Here is a 21,722-nt window from a genome sequence, read left to right on the forward strand (position 1 = left end):
TAGTGAGACCCTGTCTCTACAAAAAAATTTTTTAAAAACATTAGCCAGGCGTGGTGGTGCCCCCCTATAGTTCCAGTTACTCCAGAGGCTGAGATGGGAGGATCGATTGAGCCCAGGAGGTGGAGGCTGCAGTGAGCTATGATTGTGCCACTGCAGTCCAGCATGGGTGACAGAGCAAGACCTTAACGCTGGCTTGACTAGAACAGATGATTTTTTGCTGAGCAATCTTAAGACAAGGTTAGAGTGGTGAGGTGGAGCCAGAAAGCATTGAAAATCAAAGATAATTTGCTTATATATCAGAAGCAATACAAGTGAAGACCTGAAAAAGTTGAGGGAGTAAACAGTGCAGGTTCAGGGGAATGAGCATTCCAGGCAGAGGGAACAGCAGCTGCTAAAATGGGTATACACCTTGTGTTCTAGAGACATCAAGGGGCCTGGTGTTGTAGTAGTGGAGTGAACAGGGGTGTATGTAATTGATAATGAAGTTAAGAGGTGATGGGGCATATCATGTAGGGCAGGGTTTCTCAAATTTCTTACATTTTGGACTGGGTAATTTTTTGTTGTAGGGGGATGTCCTGTGCATTGTGGAACATTTAGCAGCCTCCTTGGCCTCTATAATATGCCAGATGTCAGTAGCATCTGCCCCCTAGTTGTGACAACCAAAAATGTTTCAGACATTGCCAATGTCCCCAGGGGGTGCAAAATCTCCCCTAGTTAAGAACCACTGGTATAGGTTCTTAGATGTTATTTTAAGCTTTGGCTTTTACTTGGAATAAGAGGAACCCATTGGAGGTTACTGAGCATTGAACATGATTGAACTTAACATTTTGTCAGAATTATTGTGGCTGTTGTCTTCAGAAAAAACAGCAAAGGAGCAAAAGTGGAGCAGGAAAACCAGTTAGGAGACTTTTGCAATAACCTAGGTGGTAGATGTTGGTATCTTGTAGTAGGGTGCTGGTAGTGTAGAGTTGCTAAAAAGTAGTCCCACTCAAGACTTAATGTCACATAGTTAGTTATTTTGGTCATAGGTCAGTTTTTAATTTTTTTTTTTTTTTGAGGTGGAGTTTCTCTCTTGTCGCCCAGGCTAGAGTGCAATGGTGTGATCTCAGCTCACTGCAACTTCCGCCTCCTGGGTTCAAGCAATTCTTTTGCCTCAGCCTCCTGAGTAGCTGGGATTACAGGCACCCACCACCATGCCTGGCTAATTTTTTTTGTGTTTTTTAGTAGAGACGGAGTTTTACCATGTTGGTCAGGCTGGTCTTGAACTCCTGACCTCAGGTGATCCACCCGCCTTGGCCTCCCAAAGGATTGGGATTACAGGTGTAAGCCACCTTGCCCAGCCCATAGGTCAGTTTTTTTTCCCCCAGTATGTCACAGCTGCTGCTTTGTGTTTTAATTAAAAATGAGTTTTAGCATTTTTGAGCGTATTATTTGTATGATAGAGTGATCCAAGTGATAGAATATATTTGATTTAAATTATTAGGTCAGTTTTATTTTTCTGGGTAAATTACTATCATTTAAGATATACTACTATGTTCTCATGGTTTTATTTTTAAAAGTGATTTTAAAATTCATTTTGGTGACCTGGAAGAAAAATTTATAAAAAAGCAGTCATCTTACATTATCTGTAGCCCTATAACTACACTGATTGTATACAATATAAAGACTTTTCCTCCTGTTTAAATGAGTAGTAACATTACTATGAACAATCAAACAGAATCATTGCTATATAAAAGTAGCTTTATTAATTTTTGTACATTTCACAGTGCCTAACACATACATGGTTAGTGTACAATAAATGTTAATAATTTTATGATTATAGTGAAATAAATAGAACAAAAAACTAAAGGTTTTAATATTCAAAGGCAGCCAGTGCTAACTCAAAATAGAAACTAGCAGAAATAAAACATAAGATTTTTTTCTCTGTGTACCTGACTAAACATAATCTTATTTTTTAATATGAGGCCTTAGAGGAAAACTTTTCATTTTGAAAACTTTATTTTAATCTCAGAATTATCCTCTGAGAGATATGAGCATAAATTTTACTATATACTTACCAACTGTATCACAAAAAATTAACTATTTTATTAATCTGGGACTGTGTTGTCCAGTTTGGTAGCTACTAGCTACATGTTACTGTTGAGCACTTAAAACATGGATAGTTTGAATTGAAGTGCTCTGTAAGTGTAAATTACACACCAGATTTGAAGTCTTCAAATGAAAAAAGCAGTAACATATCTCCATATGTTTTGTATATTGATAAACTTTTTGTACTGTTATATTAAAACCCATTAGTATGTCTTGCACTTTGAATGGATCTTTTTTACCATATATTATTTTGTAATATCGGCATTATTTGGAAAATACTAGTTTTTATATAAAATGCAGATTTTCCAAATATTGATCAGTTTTATGGCACAATATTTAAAAAATCATATTCAGTGATACCACCACCAACCTTTCAGAAAGCCTTTAAGTATTGGGAAGGTGTCAAGCTCAAGGTGGTAGATACAACTTTTAAAAAATTCTAATGTTCACTTGAAAGCATGAATTTTATCCTTGACAACAAATAATGTCGGTCGTTTTCGTTAAAACAATGTTTTCACTTAGTTCTTTTTTTTTTTTTTTTTCTTTGAGACGGGTCTCACTCTGTCGCCCAGGCTGGAGTGCAGTGGCACGATCTTGGCTCACTGCAAGCTCCACCTCCTGGGTTCATGCCATTCTCCTGCCTCAGCCTGCCGAGTAGCTGGGACTACAGGCACCTGCCACCACACCCAGCTAATTTTTTTTGTATTTTTAGTAGAGACGGGGTTTCACTGTGTTAGCCAGGATGGTCTTGATCTCCTGACCTCGTGATCTACCTGCCTCGACCTCCCAAAGTGCTGGGATTACAGGCGTGAGCCACCGCGCCCAGCAACTGCTGTTCTAAGATAAAATTTGGACCTTTACCACAGGACTAGTAAATTTAAGATGAGGCCACAAATGGCAGAGTAAGGCAGAGTATCACAAGCACCACGTGAGAGTTACAGGCTTTTGTAAATATTCAGAAGAAGGATGACACTCAGCTGAGAGAGTATCAGTAAAAGTTTTCTTGAATGCATTAGGATTTGAAATGGACTTTAAAAGATTAGAAAGTTTCAATAAGCTGATATTTAGGGTAGCAGAGGAAAATGTTTCATGTAGAAGCAATAGCATGAGACTAGACAAGAGGATATGTATAGAATTTTGGGAAAATCATTTCATCTCTTTGGACGTCAGTTCCCCAGATCTATAAAATGAGAGGATTGATTTTGAACATTCAGGTTGCTACCAGGTTTAAAGTTGGATGACTTTGAGTACTATTTTTATAAAGTTGTTATTGTTGTCATTATTGTTGGGACTAGAGATATTATATGATTATATAAAATTTAATGTTTTAAAAAATATAAAATTAAGATATTTACTCTGTGTGTACTATTGTATTTATTTGTGTATGACATTTGGGGAGAGTAATGAGGGATTTTTAAAGGACTTTATAGAAAACAAATTCTAAATGTTTGTTTTACTTTCTGATTTTTGTAGTCATCCTAAATTGATTTTGTTACCTCTTTTGTTTTATTTTTCATATCAGAGGTTGGTATATAGGCAGAATTGCAGTGTAATAAAATAGACTTAATATGCTTATTGTATTAGTTTTTTTTTTTTAGTGTTCACATTGCTAGAATTTGCATTCATTTGTTGAGTCATAATTTATAGGCACAGTGCCATAGATTGGTCTCAATCTGTGATTTTACTTTTTAAAAATATCTGTTTCAATTACTGTGAACAAGGCTAATTGGAAATGTGGCTGCTTCTGAGTTTTCAGACATTTAAAGAGCAGTTAGATGCAGAAAACAAGTATAGTCTACTGCTGTCATATAGGACAAAAATTTCCCCTTTGACTTTATTAAATGCTGACTTCTTTTAAGAATAGGAATTATGTATCATTAATTATATATGCTATAGTACTTAATACAAGGCCTTATAGTAGTCCCCTAGTCCAACAAATATTGGTTAAATTGAAAATAATTCTGTGGCCAGGTGCAGTGACTCATGCCTGTAATCCCAGCACTTTGGGAGGCCAAGGCAGGTGGATTGCTTGAGCCCAGGAGTTCGAGACCAGCCTGGGCAACACGGTGAAAGCCCATCTCTATCAAAAATACAAAAATTAGCCAGTCTCATAACCCAGTCTCAAAAGAAAATAAAAATAATTCTAATATAGAACTTTTTAGTTGAAAATATGTTTTTCTTTGAAATATCAGGGCTTTTTTTTTTTTTTTTTTTTTAGCAAATTTGATTTAGTAGCTTCTCATCTTTGTGTTTTTCCCTTCAGCATTTAGTGTGAATTTAGTTTAAATGTTAATGGTAAATTATCTCAGGTGATAGATAGGAATATCTTGTGTTTTGTGCAAAGATCCCTGAAGAGAATGGTGTATTTTACTGACAATTTCTTATTGACTCTCTTTTAGGAATGGATCGTGATTATGGCCCTGGATCTTATGGAGGTCTGACATTCAAGGATATTTATCTAAAAATTCTTCTTTTGAGTGCCAGTAAAGGTGAGCATCATATAACTTTTTTCTTTTTAAACTCTTATAGGGATGGATCGTGACTATGGCCATGGATCCTATGGGGGTCAGAGATCCATGGATTCCTACCTAAACCAGTCATATGGCATGGACAATCACAGTGGTGGTGGTGGGGGTAGCAGGTAAATTGCTTAATCATTTGGCCAAATAATTAGACAACTATAAGATTTTGGATATATTATTTTAAGTACTCTTTAGGCATGTTATGATACTTGAACTTCACTGTTTGCTATTGAATCATCACCTTAAATATTTAAAGGTGTTAATTAATGGGTATAAAATTTAAATCAGTATTACTGGCAGACGTTATTTTAGGAAAACACCAGATAACTATATCATGTCAATATAATAGAGTAAGATACACTTTTTAGCAGTGAACTTTTAAAAAATTCTTTTACTTTTAACTTCTTGTCAATCAAAGTATCCTGAAAAATGATATAAAAATGTTATTGAAAATATTATTTATGAAGCTTTTTCTTAATAATTAAAAAAAATCTTTTCTAATGTGGGGTGCTATGTAAATTAGCAAAGCAGTCTAACTAGAATGGATTTTACTGAACCAGTCTAACATTTACTTTCCAAGAAACATTCAGGACATATTCCTTTAATTCTAATTTTAAAGGAAGAGCATATTGCAATAATAAAAATATTTTTAAAATTATGTTCAGGTTATTTATTGACAGGTACTACTTACACCAAAGCACTTGTGCTCTAGGCTAGAAGCATTGTATTAAAGCCATGAATACTATACCTTTGACTAGTCGAGATTGTATTTATATTTTCCTGTTACTACTGTATAAAGCTTAAACCTACTTAAACAACTACAAGCTTTAAGGTTGACCATATTTCAGGAGAAGGGGTGTCTACTTTTTGAGGCACAAAGGTTCCTGCTGAATATAAGTAAAACTAGTTAGTAGACATGTGAAACAGTCATCCTTCTGCATAAATTGAAGGATCCGGATTCCTTAATGATGGACTGAATGATGCTTACTTTCCTTCTTTCTGCTTCCAGTGTACCACTATGGTTTATAGTAAAGAAAAATTAAGAAAGTGAACAGTTGCAACTATTTTGCTTATGTGATAGATGTTTTGAAAAATGTAGTTGGAAATAGGAATAATTTTTATATGGTTACTAGGATTCAGAAGTAAATCTATTTAGTGATCTGTAAATAATTGAAGTAATGTAACACTTAATGTTTTAATATGTCAGTTATTGCCCTTTTATATTGTGAATGTAATGTGCATAAGCTATATCCGTAGATGTTATTGTTTTATCTCATGTGTAATTGTGGGCCTTTATAAAATTGTGTTGTAAGATATCAAGCAACTTTTGTAATCCATGCTTTGGGTTTGTGAGAAGGAAGATGATTTATTTCTTCTGTTAACTCTCTTAAAACCTCGAGGAGACTGTGTGCTCCCTTTTTTAGGGTAGTTTTATGTGATAATTTCCTGAAGGAAATAATTTTGCAAATAATTGAATATATTATAAGATGTATTCTTTCTCATCTGCCTTGAAAATTCATATGCAGAGGGTATATGTTGGTGATCTTTTATGTTTTATCTGTTTATCCTTCTAGATTTGTTAGATTTTCTAGTCTACAAGTAAAAAGTGATTGAGGATTGATTAATTGACCTTGGCTGAAGTTTGGCAGATTGTTAAATTTTTATAACCAGAGATAATTCCCCAAATTTTGACTCCTACAGACACAATGAAGCAGTTTGTGATATAGATTATTGGGAGTGCAAAAGGATCTCTCTGTGTCACAAATAACCTACATCTAAGTAGACTTCAATTTGTGTCCCTATTGAAAGCCAAAATATTGTAAATGTTTTGTAATTTTTAATATTAGGGATAGATTCAAAAAAGTTTGAATAGTTTGTGAACTTTAGCAAATGACCTTTTCCAAGACTAGGGCTGGGCTTAAATAATGACAGACAAATCTTTTCTTCTTCATAAAATAGAAAAGCTGCTAAGAAGCAGATTTTAAAGCTAAGTTTTACTAAACTCAATTCATATTTATAATCTGACTCAGATAGCTTTCTATCTGGTCTCACGTTGAACTGCCCAGCCCTAATCAAATGTGAACAAAAGTAGAACTGTGCAAACCAGTATGGTATAAATGAATTTTAGTTGATAAATGTCATCTGATAATTTGTCTTTTGAATTGTCTAACATTAGTAAGCTTACTTTTGTTTTTTCCCTCACTGTGCAACTTTTCCAGGTTTGGACCTTATGAGTCTTACGACTCCAGGTCTTCTCTGGGTGGGCGAGATCTGTACAGATCTGGCTATGGTTTTAATGAACCCGAACAAAGCCGCTTCGGAGGTAGTTATGGTGGTCGATTTGAGAGCTCCTACCGGAATAGCCTTGACTCTTTCGGAGGTAGAAACCAGGGCGGGTCTAGCTGGGAAGCACCTTACTCCCGTTCAAAATTGAGGCCTGGGTTTATGGAGGACAGAGGAAGAGAGAATTACTCTTCCTACAGCAGTTTTTCTTCACCCCATATGAAGCCTGCACCTGTAGGCTCTCGGGGGAGAGGAACGCCTGCTTATCCTGAAAGTACGTTTGGAAGCAGAAACTATGATGCTTTTGGAGGACCATCAACAGGCAGAGGCCGAGGCCGAGGAGTAAGTACAACAGAATCTTTTCAGATTCTTTTCACTAGTCACTCTTTTAAACCCTTTCAAGACCATCGTTTTCAACTAGAATAAACACTGTTCATCCCGGTGTATTTTGAAGCAAAAGCTGAGTCATAAACATAATTTTTAGGTTGACTGTAAAAGTTTTTCTAGCACCTCAGAAAATAAGTGGCAGTTTGAGATGATCATAAAGTTGTGCCAAATCTCCCTTTATTAAAAAGGTGAGGCTACTGGTTTGGTCTAAAAGGGGTTAAAAGGAGTTGCATTTTCCTTGTAAACACTAGCAGTTTTGCTGGTGGAATAGTTTGTGGATTATTGTGAAAGGTCACTGAACCCTTTTTGAGTTTTTGAGTAGGTTAAAGGTGCAATGTATGATAAAATGTTTATACTTTGTGGCTAAACTCTAGCAAGTAGAATTTCTTCAAAGCTCCATGTTTCACATTAAACACAGGAGACTAAAAGTTGATGATAGATCAGGATAGCTTAGCCATGTTTATGTGGTGAAGAAGTTGATGTGTATAATAGATTGTACAATGATTTGTGGTCAGTGTAATTTTGCTAACTCACGCTTACAATATGTCCAGTTGCTGGTTGTTTTATTTTCCCTCGTGTTACTAGTTTTACTCTTGAGAAATAATTTCCACCTGTACAGATATGTTTATGGTTTCTTCTTAGGAAGTAATATTTTGTAAATTATTGCTTAAATGAGTAAATATACTAGTCCACAGTTGTTTAAGTTTAGGGTACATAGTGTAAACATTATGCTTTATGTTCTTAGGTCACTTGATTGACATGAAAATTTACCTAGTAAGTGTATGCAGATTGTGGGGTTATTATATAGTTTGATCATTTAAAGAGTATTGTATTTTTGTTATAATGTAAGAATCCTTTTAAGTCAGCTGCTCTTAATATTTTATTTGCAGAGGAAAGTATTTCTAGTAAAAAAGGTAGTAGGGTACACGTTTTTGACTGGTTATTAGCTTTTGATATGTCAGTGTAGCTTGTTATACTTGTGTAGAAATTTTGCATTTTTAACAGTTACTCTTTACTTATGTAAAAATGCATTGCACCTTTAATGCGTAATTAAGGAAGATTTTCCTGTTGTGACTTTTTAAATTACCTGGAAACACAACTAGGTTAGATAGGCATTCCTGAGCATAGTATACAAATGTAAGCAACTGATACATTACAGTTCCACTATACTTCATGATCATAGGTTAATTGAAAATAGTTGGGATGATAGGCTTTGGGTTTTGAATTGAAAATCCATTCTAGTTTGAAAATTTGGAAAACACTTAATATTTTCCATGCTGTATATTATTTTAGACAAAGTGTGTTTTCTTAATGAGGCTTCAAAAGTAAATTTCGTTTTCATAATAAACAAGTATTCCTGTACTTTGTATTTACCATTCTAGTCTGAATGGACTTTTCTTTCTTTCCTCCTGTTAGTGAAGTAGATGAGCCAATAGGACCTACATTTTAAATCTTCACTTGTACAATTCCCCTTGGGTCCTTCTCTTCAGATTACTCCTCCATCTTTATCTTCTAAAAGTAAGATTAGCAGAATAAATTTCTGTGGACATGTGGCCTCTTGGTGTAGTAGATTTGGATAATGACAAGAGAAGAGGAAGGGACACAAAGAGTCGTTTGGTTGCATGACTCTTCATCTGTAAACTTTTGTTTCTTGGGCTTCTGGGTCAGAAAATGTTTCTCTAGGTAAGAATGTGAATGGAACGTCAGATGCAATTCTTTATCTGAAGTGTGTCTTGGAAGTTGATGCATGGTTATGCTTTAACTCTCCTATTTCATACTAATGTTCCATCTCGCCTTCTCATTCCCTTTTTCAACAGGGAGAATACTAAATGATTTCTGGATCTTTTTTACTTCAAACTACAAATATGGTCTTCTTTGTGTATCTTAGTTTTAGTAAAATAAAGATTTCTTTTAGGGTCTTTTCATGGGAAAACATCAATTAGGAACTCTGAAGAGGAGTTGTCAGAGAGTTGTACAAGTGGTAACATTTGGACAGGCACATATGTTGTCTATAATCTCAAGTAATTTTGAAATGTAAAAGTAAAAACATAGTTAGCAAATATTCATTATTTGTTCTACTGGAAATAAAAATACTAATTCAATGGATTTGAGTTTATGTAATAATTTACAGAGTTTTTCAATGTGTTTTTTCAGAATGGACATGTAAAATTTAGTTACATTCCAGGGAATTTTCAGGTGAAAATTAGTAGATAGTTAACATGAAAATTTTATATGAATTCATATTTTTTCTTGGACAATATGCTAATATTTATTGATTTCACAAATTTACAGCATATGGGTGATTTTGGAAGCATTCATAGACCCGGAATTGTTGTTGACTATCAAAACAAATCCACCAATGTGACAGTTGCTGCTGCAAGAGGAATAAAGAGAAAAATGATGCAGCCATTTAATAAGCCCAGTGGAACCTTTATCAAGAAACCCAAACTAGCAAAACCTATGGAGAAGATAAGCCTCAGCAAATCACCCAGTAAGTAAGAAAACATAATTGCTATGATTCAGGATACTTTTTATTTTTTAAAATTCCATACTTTTTGGTAATTTTTTCATGTTTATATACAGAAACTACATAACAATTATGATTGTAGAAGTTAGATCTGTAAATCCCCTATTGCAGTTAATAATTGGTCATGAATACCCAAAGATACTTTTAAAATGTACATAACCTGGTCCATTCCTTTTTCCTGAATCCTTGTGGTTGTGTATCAAACCCTCTACAGCTGAGAAAACAGGCACAGAATAGATAAATAATTTGCTGCCTAAGTCAAACAACCAGTGAATGGTAATGCCAGTATTTATTCCAGAGCAAGTCATGCTCTAGAAGTCCTGTTCTTAAACCTCCATATGATTGTAACAGAAATTTGCTTTGTATTCATTTTTCCCTTTTATTTTAAAATAACTTTTTCCCTAATTATGACATTATAGACATTTTAATATGTAATATTTGAAAAAACTGAAATTGCAATGTTAGATTCTTTCCTCAAAATATATTTTCTATAATATAAAATTTGAAAAAGGTTTAAAAGGTGTACTTAAATTACTTTCTCATCAGGCCTTATTGTTTAATAAGAAACAATATTCTGGAATTTCTGGAGTTCTGGAAACCTGATACTAAGCAGAGTATGTGTTGTGGGGATACCTTTAACAGTGTGTCAATTGATAGACTGTTATGTATCAAATTTGACATTTTATTAGACATTACTATAATAGAAAATTCAGTTGATTCTCTTGGGACCTATTTCAAAGATATATTTTGCACGTATGGTTAAATATTGCAAAAGTTTGATAAAGAAACTGATTTGCCCTTAAAGCAGATATATATGTATCCCTCCCCCATACCCCCTTTTTATATAACAAAACTTGAGAAAAGTGTTGTGTAGCTAAGAATGAAACTAAAATTCTTTAAATTATGCCTTCTCTGTCAGGTGTAAAATGGGCATTTAAAAAGATGATTGCTGAATTTTCCTCAATACAAGGTCTTGCTATGCTATAGTATAGACTATGTGACTTTATAGAAAATTAGTAGGAAAGGAACCCTATTCTGTCACTTGGCTAGAAGTACAACATGTCATAGTTTTAGCATATGAAAGGAAGATTAAATTACTTATTTGAGGTAATATATAAATAAGTAGATTTTTCAAAGGCCATCCAAAAGGATAAGCAGTGCATAAAAGGAAAAATTTAAGGGCAAATAGTTAAGTTTTTTTTTTTTTTTTTTTTTTAAGTATAAAGTTAAATGTATTATAAGAAAGAACCTGCTCACAGTGAGTTACCACTCCATACCCACTTGGATGGTCATAATAAAAAAAGGAAAATAACAAATGTTGACAAGGATATGGAGAAATTGAAACCCTCACACATTACTGATGGGAATGTAAAGCAGTGAAGCCACTGTGGGAAGCAGATTGGTGCTTCCTGAAACAATTAAACATAGACTGTCCATATGATCCAGCAATTCCACTTCTAGGTATTCTTCTATTCCAAAGAATTTAAAGTAGTATTCCAACAAAAATTTATTTATTTATTTATTTTTATTTTTGAGACAGGATCTTACTCTGTTGCCCAGGCTGGAGTGCAGTGGTGCAGTCTTGGCTCACTGCAACCTCTGCCCCTGGGTTCAAGCGATTCTCGTTCCTCAGCCTCCTGAGTAGCTGGGACTACAGATGTGCACCACCACGCCCAGCTAATTGTTGTATCTTGAGTAGAGATGGTTTCGCCATGTTGGCCAGGCTGTCTTGAACCCCTGGCCTCAAGTGATCCATCCGCCTCAGCCTTCCAAAGTGCTAAGATTACAGGCATGAGCCACTGTGCCTGGTCCAAACAAAAATTTATATATGAATGTTTATAGTAGCATTATTCATAATTGCCAAAAGGTAGAAACAATTGAAATATACATCAACAGAAGAATGGTTTAAAAAATGTGGGTTATTCATACAATGGAATATTATTAAACCATAAAAAAGGAAGTACTTACTAATACATGGTACAACATGGGTGAACTGTGAAAACATGCTAAATAAAAGTCAGACCAAAAAGGCAACAGACAGGATGATTCTAGGTATATGAAATACTTAGAATAGGCAAATCCGTAGATCAGAAAGCAGATTAGTGGTTACCAGGGCCTTAGGGTAGGGTTGAAATGGGGAGTGACTGCTTTATGGGATGATGAACAGTTCTGTAACTAGATAGTGGAGATGGTTGCGTAACTTTGTGAATGTACTTAATGCCATTGAATTGCACATTTTAAAATGGTTAAACTAGTAAATCTTATGTTTTGTGTATTTTATCACAATAGAGAATATTTTTTAAAAAAGAGAACAAATTTGCTTTTATTTTGGAGGTTACAAATTTTAAGAAACTTTCTGAGAGCTCCTACAATATGAACATGAGTTCTTGCATCCAGGGCTCTGCAGTGTTTACTGGACTTCCATTTTCATGCTCGGTCAGGTTACTTTAGTGTTTTTCCCAAAGTATGTGATGCCCAAGATGATTTTAGGTGATAAGGATATTATTGCTTAGAATAAGGATAGGACAAATGAGCACATTTAAAGAAAAATATGTAGCAAATAATCACATAGATGACAAGCAGATATGACAGAATTCATGATGATGGTATTCAAATGAATGAAGTTCATTTAGTGAAGTTTCAGAAATACTGGATAGTCTCAAACTCCGATTTTTTTGGTGAGTTCAATTTTAGATTACAATCACTAAGTATACCTCATAAGTATGTACTTTACGAACTGATGATTGGAAAGAGAGAATGGAAAAATGAATTTTAGCTTTTACTTTTTTGTGTAATATCCTAGCAAAAACTGATCCTAAAAATGAAGAGGAAGAAAAGCGGCGAATTGAGGCTCGGCGAGAGAAACAAAGGCGCAGAAGAGAAAAAAACAGTGAGAAATACGGAGATGGATACAGGTTTGTACTTAGAGTCAGAAAATTAGGTTCATTAAAAAATGATTTCCTAGAAAAAGCCAACACATCAATTGTAATATTAAAAAGTTCTTAAGATTCAAATGAAAAGACTTGTTCAAAGATACAGAGGAATGCTTTTGGTTTTTGATATTTATATGTAATCACTACTTAGAAAACATAAGAAAAAAGGCATTCTATTCATATTGGCAATCCAAAAGATATCAAATATTCAGAAATAACAGTATTCTTAAAAAGAAACACTTGTCATTGAGATTTGACTGTATGGAGTCATAGTGATTTTCATGGGCAGGAATTAAATATTACAAATATGTAAGTTCTTTCCAATCCAGATCCCAAAGGAAATTCTGAAGAAGAGTAAATGAGTAGGTACTGGCTTTTATAGATAATCAATCATTAAAAAGCTATAATAGTTAAAAATATGTGGTAATACACAAAGCTAATTATTATACCAGATTAGCCTGTGAACAGACTGTAAGGAAGAATGTAATATTTAATAAAGAGGATATTAGAAATAAGAGGGGAATTGGGCTAGGCACAGTGGCTCATGCCTGTAATCCCAGCACTTTGGGAGGCCGAGGCGGGCAGATCACGAGGTCAGGAGATCAAGACCATCCTGGCTAACACGGTGAAACCCCGTCTCTACTAAAAAAATACAAAAAAAAATTAGCCAGGTGTGGTGGGTGCCTGTAGTCCCAGCTACTCGGGAGGCTGAGGCGGGACGATGGCGTGAACCCGGGAGTCGGAGCTTGCAGTGAGATGAGATTGAGCCACTGCACTCCAGCCTGGGCAACAGAGCGAGACTCTGTCTCAAAAAAAAAAAGAGGGGAATTGGTTGAACAATGAAATAACAACAAAAATCAGTTTAGAGCCTCCTCATATGACACCTGGAATGAATGTAGTAAAAAAAAAATGAAATTACAGAAAAACAAAATGTTCTGCAAGGAGATTTTTTTCCCAGGCTTAAAAGTTATAGAATAAATTACAAAGGAAATTATGAGCAGATTTGGCTAAATAAAAACTTAAAATTTGAAAGGAGTGCAAACAGACTTGGAAAATATAAACATGAGAAATGATTAATGTCCAAGTTAGATTAAAACATCACCCAAATTATTTTAAAAAGTAAGAAAACTAAGCTGTTTAATATGATGAGGAAACAAAAAACAGCTAGTAATAATTTTAAGGAAATTGTTTAAACTTAACAGTAATTTCATTAAACTAAAAATTTAAATAATAGTATGCCATTTTATTACTAAGGAGAAATTTGATTTGCTAATTAAGGAATGGTCAAAGGACGCTTAAAATTTGTTGGTGACAGTATATTATAACTATTAGCAATTTAGCAGTTTTTTAAAAATGTCTAAATTTTTCTTAAAGCCTTGAGCCCAGAATTTTGAGGCCAGCCTGGGCAACGTGGCAAGACCTCATCTCTAAACAAAACAAAACAATCCATAAAAAGAAGAGTAGTTCTAGTTTCAAGAACTACTGCTATTTTTAGTCCTTGTGAGTTCTCTGTCCCATTCATTATCTCTTGTGATTCCTTCTTTTGGTAGAAGTAACAGGCATAGTTAATATTTTGGTGTAGAAATGACTTTAAATTATCAGCGTCTTGGAGTGTAAAAATCATTTTACATTATAAGATGCAATTTTTTAAATTTAATTGCCCTATGAGTACTTTTCTCATGAAAAATTTTAGATATGGATTATGTTCATGTTAATATAATATATAAAATTGTGATATAGAGAAAATGAAAGAATTGAACTTTCATTTAGCTATTTTCTCTGTAACTCTAAATATAAATCTGATGATATAACCAAAAGAATGTTAACTCATAAATTATCATTTTAGGATATAATTTATTTAAAGTAGTCTAAGTTATTTTCATTTATCAGAGCAGTTTTACTTTGAGTTATGAGGATTCGAGATTGAGTAAATCACTATTCTTGTGATAGGTTCCTTCCCTTGGATATTTGAATGCTTCCCACATAATAAAGCACATGGAAAGGTTTATATCTACCCTTAAGGGAACCTAGGGAGAAAGAGATGGATGTGTGAGAGATGTACATAAATAATAGTGTATGGTGAAGGATACCAGGAGTACAATGTAGTCTCATGAGATATAACTTCTAAATAAGGGTATAGGAGACCAAGCATGGTAGCTCATGCCTGTAATTCCAGTACCTTGGGAGGCCAAGGCAGGCGGATTGCTTGAGCCTAGGAGTTCAAAACCAGCTTGGGCAACATGGTGAAACCTCATTTCTACAAAAAATACAAAAATTAGCCAGGTGTGGTGGCACGTGCCTGTGGTCCCAGCCACTTGGGAGGCTGAGGTAGGAGGATAGCTTGAGCTTGGGAGGTGGAGGTTGCAGTGAGTTGAGATCGCGCCACTGCACTCCATAGCCTGGGCAACAGAGCAAGACTCTGTCTCAAAAAATAAATAAATAAGGGTGCATGGAAATCAGGGGAGGCTGCAATGATGGAAGTAGTATTTGAATTGATCTGGGAATGGTAGGGTTACAGGAGGAGTTGTGAGAGGCAGCCCAGGTAGAGGCCATGGCTTGCCATCAAAGCAAACAGGAATGTGTTATTGTTATTTAGAAAATTGAAAGCAGTGTAGATTGAAGTGACTCTAATGGGTGAAAGGTATAATCTAATTTAAACATTTAATGAAGAAATGCTGTGCCAGATAATGTTAAAGGTATTGGTGAGTAAAGCCAAAAAGAAGAGATTAGGAAATTTCCTGGATGGCAGCTGAAAACATTTTTGTCTTTGTTTTTGGAGCTTATGGAGCTAATGAAGCCCTTTGAGCAGTAATGTGCTCTTACCTCCTATAGGAAGTAGCAATAATTAATTGAATAATTATTGTGTTTTAGGAAATGTTCTAAGGGCTTTGTCTGCATTAATTTTTAAAAATCCTCAGACACCTCTGTGAGCGTTCTCATCTCAATGTAAGAAAACCAAGGCCCAGAAAACCAAGTCAAGTAACTTGCCCAAGATCACAAAATGGAATTAGGATATGAACTCAGCAGTTGGCTCCAGAGCTCATACTCTCAACCAGGAAAATAAATCTAATAGCATTGCAAAGAATTAATTGGAAAATGGAGACTGGAGACAGAAACCAGTTATGTGACTGCTGGCATAATTCAAGGAAAAGAAAATAATGTAAAATAGAAACAGTTATTCTGGTCACGGTGGCTCACACTTGTAATCCCAGCACTTTGGGAGGCCGAGGCAGGCAGATCACCTGAGGTCAGGAGTTCAAGACCAGCCTGGCCAAGGTGGCAAAAACCCTGTCTCTACTAAAAATATAAAAATTAGCCAGGTGTGGTGGCGCATGCCTGTAGTCCCAGGTACTTGGGAGGCTGATGTGGGAGAATTGCTTGAACTGGGGAGGTGGAGGTTGCAGTGAGCTGAGATCGCACCACTGCACTCCAGCCTGGGCAGCAGAGCGAGGCTCCATCTCAAAAAAAAAAAAGAAAAAGAAAAAGAAAAAAAGAAGCAATTAGGTGGGACTGTTCATTATGGAGTGGCTCTTGAGCTTACAGATGTATGCATTTGTCCAGTCCAGGCCTATTAGTTATCCCTAAGTGAAGTAGTCTTTAGAAGGCAAGACTTTTATCACCCAAGAATTCCACAGGAGTGAATTATGATTGTCTGGTGGTGTGCCACCTTGCTTTATTGATACTACCATTGGTTTAGAAGCTTGAGGATGGAACAACATGTAAAATAAGTTGCAGAACTTTGGAACTTGATACTTCTTGAGGTTTGTTTTGCCTTTTTAATTGGTCCAGGCTTGAAGTGGATAACTTATAGATCCCCTGATTCAATTTTTCCTACCCGGAAGCTCCAAGGTGGGCTAGAAATGCAAAGTGGTATATGGGTACTGTCCAAATATGTACTTAAATACTGTTTTTTTTGGATTTAAGCTAAGTTTAATTCAGTCATAAAGAGGAAGAAAGGAAATCATTTATGTTGGTAAAATTAGTTTCAATGTTATATTCTTATGAACTCTTTATAGTTGAATAAAGTAATATTTAAAGGAAAACTTTTTTTTCTCTTACAGAATGGCATTTACATGTTCATTTTGTAAATTTCGAACATTTGAAGAAAAAGATATTGAACTGCATCTGGAAAGTTCTTCACATCAGGAAACATTAGATCATATACAGAAACAAACTAAATTTGATAAAGTAGTTATGGAGTTTTTGCATGTGAGTAGCTGTTTTTGAAGTGAGAAGCATTTTATTGATATGAATTTCTTATGATTTCATTTTTCACTCTCCCCATCTCTCACATTTATGTTTCTAAAATTTTAATTTACTATTTAAAGAAAGAGTTGTTTTAAAATTAACTCAGAATTACTTGTGAATTCCTCTATAATAGAATTTGTATTTGTTATTTCAGAAATTATTACATTTTTCACAGTTTCTGCGGGAGGTGTCCTTTAACAACTGTATTGATGTGGAGTCAGCTATCATCCATTAACTGGAGTTGTGCTGGTTACATTCATTCGTTATTTCAGTTGAGCCCTGTAACAATTCATTTTTATCATGAAAGATTATGCTCAGAGCAGTTAAATGACTGTTAAGTGACAATGCCAGGAATTCAGAAATAATGTAGGAGTTTAGCAAAGGGAAAGACAGTTGGGAATGTTAAGGAATGCTTAAAGAAGGGGCTTGAGCTGGACTGTTGATTGTACGTACAATTAATTTGGACAGAAGAGGTGGAATTATTAGAAAGTTAAAAATACAATGATCAGGCCGGGCGCAGTGGCTCACGCCTGTAATCACAGCACTTTGGGAGGCTGAAGCGGGTGGATCACGAGGTCAGGGGTTCAAGACCAGCCTGAGCAACATGGTGAAACCCCGTCTTTACTAAAAATATAAAAATTAGCCAGGCGTGGTGGCGCGTGCCTGTAATCCCAGCTACTTGGGAGGCTGAGGCAGGAGAATTGCTTAAACCCGGGAGGCAGAGGTTGCAGTGAGCAGAGATCGCACCACTGGACTCCAGCCTGGGTGACAGAGCGAGACTCCATCTCAAAAAAAAAAAAAAAAAGTGACCTTTCAGACCACTGTAATTCTCATAGAACTGTGACCCTTAATTAACAATCTTCTGTAATTTATTTCCTTAATGGGTTTCTGTGTGTCCTTTATAACTTAAATACCCACCTACTCTGGAAGACCTCTTAAATATTCTAGCTCCCTTTGATCCCTTTCTCTATATGCTTAAAATATACTTTGAAAAATGAATAATTTTTGTAGGTTCCTAATATTTTATGATTATCTTTTCAATTAAATTATAAACTCCTTGAGAAAAGATGTTAATTCTTATGTAGCAGATACTGTATCTTCCATAGAATGAACATAGTGCTAAGCATTATACTTGAGTGCTCATTGAAAGCTATTTAGATTCTTTCTATTTTGTTTTCTAGGAGTGTATGGTGAATAAATTCAAGAAAACATCTATTCGTAAGCAACAGACAAATAATCAAACAGAAGTAGTTAAAATAATTGAAAAAGATGTTATGGAAGGTAAGTATTTAAAACAAATTATTTTAAAATTCTACATGTATTTTTATATATCATAACCTGTTTAAATGTAAATGATAGCCACTAGAGTGATATAGTACAGTCATATATACAGTAGCTCTGAGTGAGTTACCAGAAATGAACTTCTTTGTCTTCCTGTTCTAATGCTTACAAATTTATCATTACCTGCCATTACTTTCTTCACTTCAGTTTGAGAGGAAAAGTTACCTTTTCCTCTAGATGAAAGATACTTCTCTCTGTTCTCTGTTTCTGTTATTCCTTCTCCCAAAATTCAAGTTATGAAATCTTCTGTTTTTTAGTCTTTCCTTCTCTTTTGATTCCATCTCTGGAGTCTGTAAATATGCTTTTACTTAAAAAAAACAAAACAAAACAAGAACAAAAACAAGAACTAACCAAACAAAAAACAGCCAACAAAAGGAATAAAAGAAAAGGAAAGAAAAACAGACACTAGTTCTCCTAAATAACCTGTCTTCTTTTTCTTTTTAAATAACCATGCTTCTTTAAGCATAACCCACACTATTCTCTGCTTCTTCATCTCCCATGTATTACATTAAGCTAATTAAACAACTTTCTACTACTGTTAGTCTACTGAAACTGCTGTGACAGAAGTTACCAACACCAACTTCTCTAGGTTCTTTGGAATCATTATCTTCCGTAACATTTTTTACTAACTATATGATTCATGAATCATTTTTCTTCCTTTGTTTCTGTGGCACTTCACTGGCCTAATGTTTTCTTTATCCTTTTGTCATTTTTTAAGTCTTTATGGTTTCTCTGCCACTCTTTTAGAATTTGATGTTTCTCAGTACCTTGTCATTAGCCCCATTACCATCTCTTTTTATATTCCTTCCTAATAAATTCACTTACAGAGCTTAAGTTAGTATCTAGATGTTCATTGCTTATACATCTATGTTTCTAGCACAGATCTTTCTTCTGAACTCTAGTCTTACACATCTAACTGCCTACTGACATCTCTTTACAGCAGTCACACAAAATCAACATATCCAAAAAAGTTATCGTCTCCTTGAGCATATCCTACCTTACAAAGAAAGCAAAACAAAACCTCACAGTTTTTTCCTTCACGTATCTTGAGAAGGGCCTGCACCATCTACCAAAGCCAGAAGTAGAGAGTTATATACTAGGTACTTTTTCCTTACTGTATCTATAGTACTGATCAGTTGATAACATCAATTCTCTTTTAAACATTTATCAAATCTGTTTCTTTACCTCTCCTTTAAATACTGTATTTGTTCAAATCCTTTTCTGTTGTCTTGACAATTGTAGTATTTCCGAAGTAGTTTCATTACTTCCAGTTTTTCTTATCTTACGATTTTATTACATGATCTCATTATTTCAGGAACTTTCAGTGGCTCTTCATCCTCTCCAGGATCAAGTTCAAATTCCTAGGCGTGGCACATACAGCTCTTTATTATTTAGGCCCTTCTTTTTTTCTATTTTCATCTTTAGTCTCTTCTTCTCTGTTCCAGTCGTACTAACTTGCAGAAAGTACCATTCTCTTACACCCTTCCCTTGCATATGTTTATACCTTCACCTGTAATAAACCCCGGTCACCATTTGCAAGATCCAGAATACCTTTGTTCCTTATGAATCCAGTTTTGACATCCTTTCCCCTTTTCTTACTCATCCACATTCATAATCATGGAAATTCTTATTTTACTACAAAATCAATATTTGTTTTCCTTTATATTATAGTTTTGGGAGGATGAATGTACAGGCCTCAGAGCATGGTTGTTTAACATGATTAGGAACTATAATGTAATTGTACCTTAATAATTTTAGTTAGCAATATAGTAAATCTACATATGTAGATTTATGAGATGTGGTAGAAATACTCAGCATAAACCTATGCACTCTGATCTTTATTTTGGAAGAAGGGGTATAAATAATCATGGAAATTAAGTAGTAAAAACTTCATTGGTCAGAAATAACATATGAATTATTTCTTTAATAATTGGATGTCTTTTGTAGGTGTTACTGTAGATGATCACATGATGAAGGTAGAGACAGTTCATTGCAGCGCTTGCAGTGTTTATATCCCTGCTTTACATAGTTCAGTTCAGCAGCACTTAAAATCTCCTGATCATATCAAAGGGAAGCAGGTAAAATTTTCATCTGTCTTAATAAAGTTGCCAGATTATCCATCAATCTTTTATTGTTCTTTGGCCATAGCTTCACACCTATCTGCAATTTTATCAATTTATCAATCTCATATGGAAATAACTGTAAGTATACTCAGAGAGGCAGTATATAGTGGTTAAGACTGAGCTCTAAAGTAAGACTCCCTGAGTTGTTCAATCTATAACATGTGTTACGCAAGCAAGTTAACCTTTCTTTGTCTAAGTTTCCTTATCTGTAAAATGAGGGTAGATGATCATTCTACTCTTATCTGATTTTTTTTAAGAATTAAATTAATTAAAACGTATAAGGCATTTAAAATAGTGCCTGGTAATGGTAAGCATTCAGGAAATCGTAGCTTTTGTTGAACTGTTAACTTTTTAAAAAGTCAGTACAAAACAGTTTTGTGAGAGAGTGTGTGTGTGTTGTGTGTGTCTGTGTTTTAGAATAAAAAAGAAAGTAAAGATTTGATTATTACTGATACATTTTTCTGATGGTTGGGAAAAATACATTTAAAAACAGCATTATCAGCTAGCATCTATTCTTACATTTTTTAGTAGAATATCCCTGAAAAATTTACTGTCTTCTTTTTGGTCAGTATATTTCTGCTTCTCTATTGGCTTGGCTGGTTTTATTTAGTCAGATTTACTTCAGACAATACAAATGTTTATATTGTGGGAAATCAGTTTGTTTGAAAAGCATATTTAAAGATTCAGATATTAAAGCCTTAAGTTTTAAATAGAACATACCCAAGTGTTAAACTTTTATTTTGTATTGAAGTGAACCTCATTTAATTCAGATTTCTTCAAGCATTTTTGAACACATACAATCTTTTCTTAATCTATGTCTTTTTCTTCTCTTGATATTCCCTTGACACCATTTTGGCAATTTTCTATACTGGTAACTTTCTTCCTCTGTATAATAGTCTTGAAATAACTACAGCCTAGAGGAAGACTAGATACTCTTGTAGTATGAAAAATTATTCTTTATTTTTTGACAGCGTGAAAATTAATAGTTGGGGGCTGGGGAGGCAGATGTGGAGTGGAAAGAAGAGAAGGCAGCTATCTAGTAGAATCTAGACTTGTAGATTTGTGGGACTGAGTGTTTTCTTTTGAAGCTGATTGGCTTGAATCTTCATTGTTTGAATTCATAGATTTAGACTGTGGTTATAGTAGTTGCTATTGCTCTATAGTTTGTAAGAAGATAAGTCATTTAAATCTAAGGGTTTGAGCATGAAATGCTGTTTTAATTATGGAAATATTTTTCATGGCATGGTTTTCAAGAACCCTCAGTGTGTTC

General features: G+C 34.6%; 1 protein-coding gene across 7 annotated transcripts in view; it reads left to right on the plus strand.

Moving 5' to 3' along the window:
- ZNF326 (zinc finger protein 326) overlaps window positions 1-21,722 on the plus strand; it is a 40,424-nt gene that overhangs the window by 5,406 nt on the left and 13,296 nt on the right. For 2 of the 7 annotated variants that reach the window (NM_182976.4, XM_047418427.1), the window contains exons 3-10: window positions 4,488-4,523; window positions 4,618-4,729; window positions 6,830-7,235; window positions 9,573-9,771; window positions 12,611-12,722; window positions 16,802-16,949; window positions 18,170-18,269; window positions 20,277-20,407. In NM_182976.4, coding sequence (NP_892021.1) covers window positions 4,488-4,523; window positions 4,618-4,729; window positions 6,830-7,235; window positions 9,573-9,771; window positions 12,611-12,722; window positions 16,802-16,949; window positions 18,170-18,269; window positions 20,277-20,407 — 1,244 coding nt within the window. Of the gene's footprint in view, window positions 1-4,487; window positions 4,578-4,617; window positions 5,931-6,829; window positions 7,236-9,572; window positions 9,772-12,610; window positions 12,723-16,801; window positions 16,950-18,169; window positions 18,270-20,276; window positions 20,408-21,722 lie in introns of those variants that run through there. The other 5 variants (NM_001320185.2, XM_047418429.1, NM_181781.4 and 2 more) reach the window with 5 other exon arrangements.

The sequence above is a fragment of the Homo sapiens genome, chromosome 1 (assembly GCF_000001405.40).
Source record: "Homo sapiens chromosome 1, GRCh38.p14 Primary Assembly".
Classification (NCBI taxonomy): Eukaryota; Metazoa; Chordata; class Mammalia; order Primates; family Hominidae; genus Homo; species Homo sapiens.